The sequence below is a fragment of the Homo sapiens genome, chromosome 9 (assembly GCF_000001405.40).
Source record: "Homo sapiens chromosome 9, GRCh38.p14 Primary Assembly".
Lineage (NCBI taxonomy): Eukaryota > Metazoa > Chordata > Mammalia > Primates > Hominidae > Homo > Homo sapiens.
In genome coordinates, this window is record NC_000009.12 from 137,971,891 (window position 1) to 137,984,791 (window position 12,901).

The window sequence follows — 12,901 nt, forward strand, 5'->3', positions numbered from 1 at the left end:
TATATGTGGGACGACCAGGGGCGAGTCAGGCCAGGCAGATGGGTGTCCTCCCCTGAGAGGGCTTCAGACCCACAGACAGGGGACTTAGCCCCACGCTCCTTTCCACCACGTGGCTGCTGATTCTGCCCCGGGTTCCTGAGGGGGGAGTCCTGGCTTCTTACCCTCCCCAGGTTCCCCTGGTTACCTTCATTTTTCTTTACAATTGGCTAAATCTGGATGCATTCATGCCCTTCCGTGGAGTGAGCTGTTTGCAGTTCTGTTCCACAAGCCTCAGCACAGGGGCCAGGATGGGCCCCTCCAGGCCTGGTCTGTCACAGCCTCGGACTCTCTGTCCCATGTGGAATACAGCATTGCTCTGTGGTCTTACTTCACAAACAGGATCAAAACCAAAGAGTCCACCCATGTTTTATGTCCTTTCAGGTAGTGATTCAGCCCTCCTGACCCCAGGGGTCAGCTGCACTCACCCTGCTGGGTGTCTACAGCGGATCTGGAGACAGGGCCTGTTTGGGGCTCCCTGGAGGGCCTCAGTCTCCCCTTGAGGGCCCTGTTTGCCTGAAGCTGCCGAGGCACCCAGGAAAGCCTTTTCCGACTCCAGAGAAGAGCTATCCCAGCTCCCAGTTCCAGCCTGGCTGTCACTGTGTCCTGCTGTCACGGTGGCCTCACCAGGGCTCTAGCCGGCCGGCTGAGCCCTGCTCTGTAGACCAGAGGGCCTCACCTGCTCTGCCCAGGAGTGTGAGGGTTCCCTGAGCTGCAGGATCTGACAGCTCCACAGTGGGAGAGATGGGGCTGCAGGTCACCTGGAAGCATGGGTGGGAGAGTGGCTGTGTTGGGGTGGAACTCTGGGCTACAGTTTCCCAAACTTGACATTGAAATCTACGACTTCCGAACGGGGAGATGGTGCGGAGGGGCAGAAGCAAAAGGAGCCAAGAGAGCTCCGGCTCAGGCTCCCTGGGCGGCTGCAGGTCGAGAAGCAGCTTGTGTACATGGAACTGCCTGTCCCAGCTCCTGACTGACACGTCCTGGGGCCCACAGGGTGGTACCTCGGGACTTTGCTTGGGCCTGAGTTCAGTGTCTCTCTTGAGTCCTCCGGCTAAGGTTTTCCCACCCTTGGGGGTCAGGTGGGGACCAAGGACTTCCTCCTGACCCAGTGACTAGGCCTGTTCTTCCCCGTGAGAGGCTGTTGGTGTGCAGTGAGTCGGCAGGCAGTGGGGTAGGGGTAGGGCTGCACAGCCCAGTCGCGCATCTGCTGTGTGCGAGCACAGGGCTGGCAGTGTCCAGGCGTTGGTGAGGCCACAGGCATCCCTGACCGTAGACCGCTACTGTGTCTTCTCTGTGGTTTCCTGGAGTTCCTGGCTTCATTGTGTCACTGAGGGAAAAATGGCTGGAGGGAAATGTGGGCAGTGTCCCTGACAGCCGGGCTGGGCCTGAGGGAGGCTTGCTCAGTAGGTAGGACAGGCTTGCCAGAGGCGAGGGGGTGTGGCCGCCCAGCCTAGAGCAGCTTTGCAGGGGCTCATCGTGGGTTCTGTGCACCTCGGCTGTCCATTCTCCAAGGACCTGCCCTCAATGCATTGCCAGAACCTTCAAAATTGAGGCTCGAGTGGTTAAGAGGGGCACTGTCAGGACTTGCCATCCTGTGAGCCCCTGGGGGGCCTTATGCAGCTCACCAGACTTGCTCACCCTCCCTCTGCTCCCATAGCACACCATCCTCTTGGAAGACAAAACCTGGTTTTAGTGATCTGTCTCTGTTTCCCCCTCAGCTTGTGAACTCCTGGGGAGAAGGGTGAACTCTGTCCCCATGCTGGCTCAAAACAGCACCAGTGCCTGCTGGTAGGATGCATGATACAAGAGTGTACGAATGAATGCCCTTTCTGGGCCTCAGAGTGGAGGCTGAGTATGTGAGGCTGAGGGCCTCTGTTCCTAGGGAGAGTGAGAGGGCAGACAGGATGTTGGAGGATTTCAGATCTCTTTCTCTGAAAGTTTTACCGTTTGCATTTCTTGTACTTGTTCCTTGCAAAGTGCTCTCACTTTGGTCTCCTGGGGAGCAAGGTGTGTGCCTGGGTAGCCTCCCCTCCCAGATCTAGGGTGTGGGTGCCAGCAGTCCCATCTCTGGGGCCTCTCCTCCCTGGGTCCGAGCCCCTCGTGTGGGGAGCCCGAGGCCTTTGTGACCCACGCAGAGGGGCTCTGGGACTTTGTGGCCAGGCGTGTTGGGCCTTTCCAAGCTGCTTGTGTATTCCCCTGGGCTTGCTGGGGTGCTCTGCACTGGACTGCAGGGGTCACGGCTTTCCTGCCACATCTCACACCTGGTGGTCTGCACAGCCAGGCCCAGGTCAGAGCTGTAGGGTCCAGTGGTCTCAGTTGAGGGTGGATCCTTCCATTCCCGAGCAGCCCTGCCTGAGGGTCGCTGGGCATCCATGCCTCTCACAGGGGGCTCTCGGCTTCTCCAGGGACACTGCTTGGCCTTGTTATCATCCCATGCTTAGCTTGAGTGCCTGGTGATTTTCTGGCTGGTGTCAGAGGCCAGGCTTGCTACAGGTGACTTGCTCCAAGGAACTGGTTGTCCATGTCCTCAGGCCATACAAAGTGGGGTGTCCGCTCCCTGAGACTCCTGTCTGTTTGTACGGTGCCTGAGTGGTCTGTGAAGTTGTCATCTCTGCTTATCCCAGGTCTGGGCTGCTGCAGACTTGCCCCCGACCGAGGCTGTCTGGACCTGTGCAGCACAGCCCTTGGTGGAGGAGATTTTAGGAGCATAGGGGTGGGAAGAGTGTGTGGCCCCCTCTTCCAGTGTCTGCTTTATCAGAAGTTGTGTCTGCTGAAGGTCCCGTGTCCCAACAGAGACTGTAGAGGGGGATTCAGAAGCCCTGGGAAGGCCGAGCTGGACTCTGCCCAGTTGTGGACTCTCAGGGGCCTGCCCTTCATGCCCTCCCAGGGCCTTGTTCTCCATGTGGGCTCTGCCCTGGGCTCTGTTGCCTCCCTAGCCCCTGCTGACCTGGCAGAGCCATGGTGCCTTTGGCCTGACCAGCACTGTGAGAAGTTTAAGAGCCAATCCCTGCCCAACCCTTTGGGAGGAGAGTCAGAGACAGTGGCCTCACCCTGACGCCTAGGACTCCTGGCTCAGCCAGCGGCTGGGCCTCGCTGGGCCTCCTGCTGCCTGTGGCCTCACCCAGCTCTGGAGCCACGGCGTTCTTCTGTGCTGCTTCCCTCTTTCTGCTTGGGCTGGGTGAGCAAGAGTCTGTGTACCTTGAATTCCCAGCACAGCCCTCTAGCCCCAGCATGGCCTCCCTCAGTACTGAGGCCCGGAAGGGTCAGCAGGACTTCTGAGCCCAAGACAGCCCCCCTCCACTGCTGCTGTGCCCGCAGGAACCTCTGTGTGACTTGGTGACAGTGCAAGGGGACAGTGCCTCTTGGCAGCCTCGTGCTGGAGAGGAGTGCAGTGGTGGAGGAGGTCTACCCTCGGGGCAGCAAACGTGAACAGAATACAAGTCAGCCACAGTGCCGTGGACATTGTGGGGAGAGGCGTCTTTCCACTGGGAAGTCCCAGTGGAAAGGTGGGAGATTCTGACAAGGAGGTTGAGGGACCCCACCTTCGGTCAGAGATTGGGGTGAGGCCAGAGGCGGAAGGACCAGCTGGAAGCTGTAGCTGGGCCTCTCCTTGGGGTAAATGGGGCCCTTTGCCTCATAGCCCCAGGACCTCCTCTGGTGAGGAGGGGGCACCCCCATGACCCCAGAACTCACACCTGGGCTGATCTCGGGAGCTTGCCTCCTGCTGAGCCCGTCCTTCTCTGGGTCTCAGAGGCACTAGGGACTCACCACCTTTCAGACTGGAACAGGTACCTCTCCGTGTCCCTCTGAATCCATCGTTCCTTTCCTAGGCTGAGACTTCAGAGCATAGGACCATAGGCCAGGCCTGGAAGGCTCAGCCCTGGGAAGGCCCAGAGGTCTGGTGTCCTCCAGTCTGGGCTGGAGCCAGAGTGGGAGGAGGCCTCGAGCTAATCCCCCTCTTCTCCGGCTTCTCCTAGATTTTGCAGAGTTTGTTTTCCTGGGTCTCTTCCTCACAGAGATGTCCCTGAAGATGTATGGCCTGGGGCCCAGAAGCTACTTCCGGTCCTCCTTCAACTGCTTCGACTTTGGGGTGAGTGAGAGGCCTGATCAGGGGCCCAGGCTGTATCCTTTCCTGCAGGTGCACACAGCCCCCTCCCATAGGCCATGCCCAGTGTGGGCTGGGGTCTGTGACCCTACATGGGTCAGAAAGGCTGCCTGAAGACAGTGAGGAGCAGGGGGCTGGCAGCGGGAGGCCTGTCCTGGCGGGGCCTGACTGATGGGAGTGTCAGCCTCAGCAGCTCTCTGTCGGCGGGAGGTCACCCTTCCCTCTTCTGATCCTGTCCATAGATTTTCATAATCAGCTGAAGGCTCTGCAGCTACCTCCATGCCTGGGATCTCGCAAACCTGTGGAGGGCTCAGTCTCTCCCCAGTGGAGCTCAGGGGGGCTCTGGCCCTGGGCAGGCTTGGGTACATCCACCAGCACTTCTGGGGTTGGGGCACGATAGGCCATGATGGTCCTGCCCTCTCTGTGAGGCTGGGGGAGGTGGTGGCCCTGGCCTGAGTCTCTTTACCAACTTATGTAGGTAGGGAGGCCTTGGAGGCAGTGTGTTTCCCAGCTTACCATGACAGTTGAACACAGACGGCAGGGCAGGGCAGTCTGAGAATTACCAACTTATGTAGGTGGGGAGGCCTTGGAGGCAGTGTGTTTCCCAGCTTACCATGACAGCTGAGCACAGAGGGCAGGGCAGGGCAGTCTGAGAATTACCAACTTATGTAGGTAGGGGAAGCCTTGGAGGCAGTGTGTTTCCCAGCTTACCATGACAGCTGAGCACAGAGGGCAGGGCAGGGCAGTCTGAGAATTACCAACTTATGTAGGTAGGGAAGCCTTGGAGGCAGTGTGTTTCCCAGCTTACCATGACAGCTGAGCACAGAGGGCAGTGCTGGGCAGTCTGAGAATTACCAACTTATGTAGGTAGGGAGGCCTTGGAGGCAGTGTGTTTCCCAGCTTACCATGACAGCTGAGCACAGAGGGCAGGGCAGGGCAGTCTGAGAATTACCAACTTATGTAGGTAGGGAGGCCTTGGAGGCAGTGTGTTTCCCAGCTTACCATGACAGCTGAGCACAGAGGGCAGTGCTGGGCAGTCTGAGAATTACCAACTTATGTAGGTAGGGAGGCCTTGGAGGCAGTGTGTTTCCCAGCTTACCATGACAGCTGAGCACAGAGGGCAGGGCAGGGCAGTCTGAGAATTACCAACTTATGTAGGTGGGGAGGCCTTGGAGGCAGTGTGTTTCCCAGCTTACCATGACAGCTGAGCACAGAGGGCAGTGCTGGGCAGTCTGAGAATTACCAACTTATGTAGGTAGGGAGGCCTTGGAGGCAGTGTGTTTCCCAGCTTACCATGACAGCTGAGCACAGAGGGCAGGGCAGGGCAGTCTGAGAATTACCAACTTATGTAGGTGGGGAGGCCTTGGAGGCAGTGTGTTTCCCAGCTTACCATGACAGCTGAGCACAGAGGGCAGGGCAGGGCAGTCTGAGAATTACCAACTTATGTAGGTAGGGAGGCCTTGGAGGCAGTGTGTTTCACAGCTTACCATGACAGCTGAGCACAGAGGGCAGGGCAGGGCAGTCTGAGAATCTTCTGGATTCTCAGACCCCGCAGGGAGCACAGGACACTTCCTGGGACCTGAACCCAGAGCCTAGGGATATGGCACTGTCGGCACCTGCCCAGAGGCTGAGTTCTGAGTCTTCCTGCTGGAGGCTGGGAATGATGGGTGGGCACGCCGCCCCCTGAGGGAGGAGGGAGGAGTGGGAGTAAGTACTCCCTCCAAGTCTTTGTACCAGAGCACTTCAAGCCCTCCCGTAAGGAGCAACAAGTGGGAGTGACAAGGAGTGATGAGTGGGAGCATTGCCCCTCTCAGGGTGGAGTGAAGGGTGGGAGCAGAGTCCCCCAGGAAGGAGTAACAGGCGGGTGCACTACCCCCGCAGGAAGGAGTGACAGGTGGGAGCACTACCCCCCCCAGGAAGGAGTGAAGGGTGGGAGTACTACCCTCCCTCCCAGGAAGGAGTGACAGGTGGGAGCACTGCCCCCCCAGGAAGGAGTGAAGGGTGGGAGCACTACCCTCCCCCCCAGGAAGGAGTGACAGGTGGGAGCACTGCCCTCCCCCAGGAAGGAGTGATGGGAGCACTGCCCCCTCCCCAGGAAGGAGTGAAGGGTGGGAGCACTACTTCCCCCCCAGGAAGGAGTGACAGGTGGGAGCATTGCCCCCCCCCAGGAAAGAGCAACGGGATCACTACTCCCCCAGGAAGGAGTGAAGGGTGGGAGCACTACCCTCCCCCCCAGGAAGGAGTGACAGGTGGGAGCACTGCCCCCCCAGGAAGGAGTGATGGGAGCACTTCCCCCCCCAGGAGGGAGTGAAGGGTGGGAGCACCACCCCTCCCATGAAGGAGTGAAGGGTGGGAGTACTACCCTGCCCCCCCCAGGAAGGAGTGACAGGTGGGAGCACTGCCCCCCCGAGAAAGGAGTGAAGGGTGGGAGCACTACCCCTTCCATGAAGGAGTGCCCTCCCATGAAGGAGTGACAGGTGGGAGCACTGCCTCCTCAGGAAGGAGTGGGGAGTAGGAGTGCCGCCCCCCAAGGGAGGGTTTGGAGCTCGGCAGAGTTTACAGGAGCCAGAGAGGGGCCTGGACCGTGGTAGTAAAGCTTCAGTTAGAAAATTCAGCTTAATTGGACTTTTTCTCTCATGAGCATTGTACTTACACAGGTGGTAGACATTTGTGTCTGTGATTTTGTTGAATCCTCACAAGGACTCTCATTTTACTGATGATAACGGCAGACATTGTGTGACTGGCCCCAGGCTGCCCATCAGTTTGAGAGGAGTCAGTGGGTGAGCCTGGCTTTCTGGCCTCGGGGGTAGTGGTTTTGCATCATGCTGTGCTTCTGATCTCTGAGGAAGGGAAGGCAGTGGCCATCCAGGGTGCTCTCTGAGACATGGAGACCTGTGATTTCAGTAGACAGTGGGAAGACAGCAACCCTTCTTACCCTTTGACTTCTTGGTCACAAAGAAGGTCTGAGTGCATCGGCCAAGGGAGCCGAAGAGATGGAGGCGTCAGAGATGCAGGGATCTTTTTCATGTCTTCCAATCTTCTGATCTGAACTGACTGGATCTCAGGACATGGGGATAATTTGCACATAAGCTAACACATTCTTCTAACACTTAGCAGCTTTAAACTACAAAAATCTGTCTCACATTTCTATGGCTTAGGAATTCAGGTGTGGCACTGGGTATCTCTGGCGCAGGGTCCCCCATGAGGCTTCAGCCCAGTTGAAGGCCAAGGATATGGTCATTCCACGGCTTGACTGGCACTGGAGAATCTGGTGTCAAGCTCATGCATTTGGTTGCTGGAACGCCGAGTTCCTGGTCATGTGGCCTCTCCACAGGCTGCCGGAGTGTCCTCAGCTGTGGTCTGAGGGAGAGAACTGAGAGTATGTACATAAGACAGAAGTTATAGAAACCCTGTCTTGAAAGAAAGATCCCATCAGTTTTGCCATAGTCTTTTAGTTAGGAGTGAGTCACTGGGCCCAGTGACTGGGCCGGGGAGAGGAATATATGGGGGCAGGTATTATGCAAGGATGTGAACACCAGACAGTGATGACCACTGGGGCCATCGAAGAGGCTGCTTGCCACAGCCTGCCCTCTGGCTCTCAGTAACTCATATCCTTCCCATTGTAAAACACCTTCACCCTGCCAACTCCCCAAAATCTTATCCATTACAGTATCAGCTCAAAATCCAGAATCTCATCCTCAGTTAGGTCCAGGTGTGGGTGAGACTCCTTCGGTGTAGTTCCCTAAGTGCAGTGGCTGCGGTACCTCTTAATCTGTTGACCTGTGGAACTAGAGAGTTATCTACACTCAACATTCAGTGTGCAGTGGTAGGATGGGCATAGGGTAACTGCAGTAGATATTCCTGCTCAGCAAGGGGACACCAGGAAGCTGAGCCACTGGTCCATAGGGATTCTGAAATCCAGCTGGGCACATGCGGGAAAGTCTGGGATTCATTGTTACAGACAGGAAGCCCTCTGGGCTCTTGGTTCTGCCCTCTCACTCCCTTTGCTTTTCCATGAAAGGTAGTTCAGGTTTTCAGCTGAATGGTTTTCTCAGCCTACTTCCCACTGGCAGAATTTTGGGAATCTAAAGACCTATTTTCGTTTTGTATTGTCTTGATTCTTTCAGTCCAAGTTGGTGATGTCTCTGCATATATGTCCTCTAAGAACTTTATGGATATGTTGTGAAGCTTGGGGTTCACTTTATTATTAGAAAAAAGCTCTACCCACACCTATTAGGCCTTAGACCTTTTCTGTCTGTGTTCCTGTTGAAATGCTAAGGGTCAACACCTCCAGTGTCTTAGAGAAGTTCCTGCTTCATTGACCAGATGTGTGAGGCACCCTCAATCTCTTTGAAGAGCCTGAAAGTGTGGCTGAGTAGTGCTCTGAGGCACCACCTTTGATCGTTTTGGGATCTCAAATAAAAGTCACAGTCTTGCCCTTGGCTTCATCTTTAGACCATGCCACCTTTCTCTCTTTTTAAAATTTCAAGTTTTATTTAGATTCAGGGGTTACACGTGCAGGTTTGTTACATGGGTATATTGTGTGATGCTGAGGTTTGGGATACACACGATCCTATCACCCAAGTAGTGAGCATAGTACCCGGAAGATAGTTTGTCAACCCCTTCCCCCTCCCTCCTCCCTCTAGTACTCCCCACTGTCTATTGTTCCCTTCTTTGTGTCCATGTGTATCCTTGTTTAGCTCCCACTTGTGAGAACGTGTGGTATTTGGTGTTTGTTTCTGCATTAATTCACTTAGGATAATGGCCTCTGGCCACATCCATATTACTGCAAAATACATGTTATTTTTTTTAATAGCTGTGCAGTCTTCCATGGTGTATATATAATGCATTTTCTTGATCCAATCCACTGTTAACTGGCACCTAAGTTGATTTGTGTCCCTGCTGTTGTGAATAGTGCTGTGGTGAACAAATGCATGTGTCTTTTTGGTAGAACGAGTTATAGTCCCTTGGGTATATAGCCAGTAGTGGGATTGCTGGATCAAATGGTAGTTCTATTTTAGTTCTTTGAGAAATCTGCAAACTGTTTTCCACAGTGACTGGACTAATTTACATTCCCACCAACATCCCCTTTTCTCCGTAGCTTCGCCAACATCTGTTATTTTTTGACTTTTTAATAATAGCCATTCTGACTGGCGTGAGATGATATCTCACTGTGGTTTTGATTTGCACGTCTCTGATTAGTGGTGTTGAGCATTTTTTTCCATATCTTTGCTGAGACCTTGCCATTATTTATGTTGAGATCTGGAGAGGCTAAACATATTCAAAACCAGCAAGTCCTGGCTTCCTTTTATTTAATGCAGTTTCCTTGGTTTATCTCTCTCCTCTCATATTTGACTACAAGCAGCAAGAAGACATCAGGTGGCACCTTCAGCACTTGGCTCAGAGATCTCTTGAGGTTGATCCCCTGGTTGATTAAGCATGTTTTCTACCTTTTTTTGTGTGTGTGTGTCTCGCTCTGTTGCCCAGGTTGGGGTGCAGTGGCACGATCTCGGCTCACTGCAACCTCTGCCTCCCGGGTTCAAGCAATTTTCCTGCCTCAGCCTCCTGAGTAGCTGAGATTACAGGCACCCACCAACACGTCCAGCTAATTTTTTTGTATTTTTAGTAGAGATGGGGTTTCACCATGTTGGTCGGGCTGGTCCCGAACTCCTGACCTCAAGTGATCTGCCTGCCTCAGCCTCCCAAAGTGTTGGGATTACAGGCATGAGCCACCACGCCTTGCCTGTTTTCTACTTTTTACATAGCTGCATGCAACAGTGTGGCTAAATTTTCTGCCAGCACACAACAGGACCCCTTCCTCTAGTTTCCTATGAAATTCTCCTCGCTTTCCTGCAGACCCTGATGTGCAGCATGCTTAATGTCCAAAATTCTATGAACTGTGTGTTAAGTGCGCTTTAGCCCTTCATTAATGTGCTGCTCAGTGTCCATCCTCTGGTTCCAAAACCACTCCCACATTTTAGGTTTTTATCACAACATCACCCCACTTCTGATTCCAAAATCTGTATTGACTTTTCCTGCTGGGGAACAAATTATCCAAAAGCTTGGTGGCATAAGAAAAATGTTTATTATTTCACTGTTTCTGTGAGTCAGGAATCAGGGTGGCTTAACTGGGTGCACCTGGCTTGCAGTCTCTAGTGAGGCTGCAGTCTTCTCAGGCTCATTTGGGGCTGGAGAATTCACTTCCAGCCTCATGCTCATTATGGCTGTCAATGGACCTCAAAACATCTGCTTCCAGGCTCACTGGTGTGGCTGCTGGCAGGCCTCTGTTCCTGGTCACATGGGCCTCTCCCAGCTGCCGGAGTGTCCTTATGACATGATATTTGGTGTTCAGAGAAAGAGTTAAGAGTTCCCAAGACAGAAACCAGTCCTTTTGTAATCTGATCTCAGAGGTGACATCCCATCACTTTTGCTGTATTCTGTTTACTAAGAGTGAGTCACTAGGTCCAACCCATCCTTAAGGGGATAGCATTATACAAGGGAGTGAATACTGGGTGGTAGGGATTACTGAGGCCATCTTAGAGGCTGCCTACTACATGAACCAGTGAGGACAAATTTTGATAATTAGTGGAAAACAGGACAGATGCTGGAAGACTGGCAATGAGAAGAAAGTATATTTAGAAAACTACAATCTTCAACCCTAGGCAAACATCTGGATGATTTGCTAGTGCAGAGAAAAGTTGGTGGTGATGATCAAGGGCAACATGTGATCACCAAGAACAGATGGCACTCTTGGCAAGACTGGGGTGGCAAGCTTACCCAATTTGTTGTATTGATAGGGTTATCACAGGTTCTGTGCATATTGGTGTACCTGGTTGTTGACAGAACGTTAGATATTCTCTGAATGGCGATCTGTGGACAACGTAGAGAAATGTGCAGCAGATGACTGTGCATTTGAGTTGATCCATAAATGGTGCACAGCCATTCCCAGACATGCTGGTTAACAGATTAGTGTCAATCTGTAGGGAAGTCTCTAGAGATGTACCACAGGGCTCTGTCTTAGCATATTCATCGTTCTCTCAGTGACTTCGTAAGAGCATTGACGTTAAGCTCATCAGCTTTGCAGTTGATGCGAAATTGGTGGAAATGACTGAAACTTTGGAAAATATATGTCCCAAATACAATGTAATTGAGTTTGAGAGGCTCAACATTTGAATTCTCCACACCAGTTGCAGAAGTGTGGCTTAGAGGAAATGAGAATTACACACATGAAGAAGACATGGGCGCTCCTGCTGACTGTGAGCCCAGATTGTGCCCCTTGAGGTATGGTGGCCTGGGAGAGAATTCAGTTTGGGGCCCCTTGCTTGTCCTGTCCAGAGGGAAGGTGGTAAAGGGTCTGCTGTGTTCCAGCCCCACTGGTCTGTCCTTTCTGAGTCCCTCACACCGGGCCCTGACCAGGACGGCCCTCCTCACAGTCTATCTGAGGAATGGCTGGAAGGAGGGACGTGTACCTTGCTCACAAATTCCAGCTCACCAACATCAACAGTGCATGAAACAAACAGGCAGGCTTGCCATAATCTGTTCTTGGTGGCATGTGCTGTTTCCTGGTCATTGGGAGAAGAAAAGACTCAAGATGCAATTTATGAATCTGAGTATCTTGGAGCAGTGGCAGAACCAGGGAGGGGAAGTTACAGGGAGACAGATTTTGCTAGTCTGTGAGAGAACAGTCTAACAGTCAGGGCTGTCTGAAAGTTTGCCCAGCTCCAGAGGTGTTGAAGAAGACACCAGTGTCACCAGGCTGTGGTCAAGCACAGAGGAGGTATTAGACCAGGTGGTTGTAAGGTCTGCCAGGAAGCCAGCAGGCCTAACCTGGTCCATGTCCTGTGTCCTCCTGGTGTGTCTGGGGTGGGGGGTGGGAGGGAGGGCAGGTACCAGGACTGGTGGGACTCTATAGCCTTTCCCAAAGGTTCCAAGAGCTCAGTGTGAGGTGTGTGCCTTGTGTTACCATATCTGGCTTGATTGTCAGACAAGGAAGCAGGATGGTTCCTTACGGAGAGGTGCAGCCACGCAGGGTGTGCACACACATCCATCTGCATGCACAGGTGCAGATACGGTGCACCCAAGGCTAATGCCATCCCGTTGCAGGTCATCGTGGGGAGCGTCTTTGAAGTGGTCTGGGCGGCCATCAAGCCGGGAAGCTCCTTTGGGATCAGTGTGCTGCGGGCCCTCCGCCTGCTGAGGATCTTCAAAGTCACGAAGTACGTCCCCTGCGCTCCCAGGCGAGGGCAGGTGTAGGGTGGAGAGGGCGTGGGATCAGCCACACAGGGTGCTTGTCCCCAGGAGTTCACAGCACCCAGAAGCTCTCTCTGTGGCTTATAGTTGATTTAAATACAAAAGGTGGTTCCAAAACGGCCTTGTGGGGCCACATCTGCCCTCAGGGCCATCCCTGACTGGCCTCCGTGCTGCCGGCACACCCTTTAGCTTTCTTGTTCACTTGCTTTCCACGATTTCCCATCGTCTCCTGTCTTGAAACCACCACCCCATCTTCCCAGCCTTCAAAGGTGACTTTGCTTTGTAGTTAATGAGGAAGACAGAAGTCATCAGATGGAAGCTTTTCCATCATCCAGCCCCCAAGTCTGCCTACCTCCCCTGCAGCTCCACCCCTGGAGAGCCTGTGTGCACCCTGCCATGGTCCTGAGCTTCTCACTGAGCCAGCCTGGCACCTGCCTGGCCCCTGTGCTCAGGCCTGCTTTCTCCACCCTGCACCTTGCTGACGATGGCAGTGACAAGACCATGTTT

At 53.8% G+C, this 12,901-nt stretch overlaps 1 protein-coding gene across 2 annotated transcripts in view; it reads left to right on the forward strand.

Moving 5' to 3' along the window:
* Nucleotides 1–12,901, forward strand: part of CACNA1B (calcium voltage-gated channel subunit alpha1 B) — a 246,838-nt gene that overhangs the window by 94,109 nt on the left and 139,828 nt on the right. For both annotated transcript variants that reach the window (NM_000718.4, NM_001243812.2), the window contains exons 12-13: nt 4,017–4,129; nt 12,248–12,360. In NM_000718.4, the coding sequence (NP_000709.1) occupies nt 4,017–4,129; nt 12,248–12,360 (226 nt within the window). The remainder of the gene's footprint in view (nt 1–4,016; nt 4,130–12,247; nt 12,361–12,901) is intronic.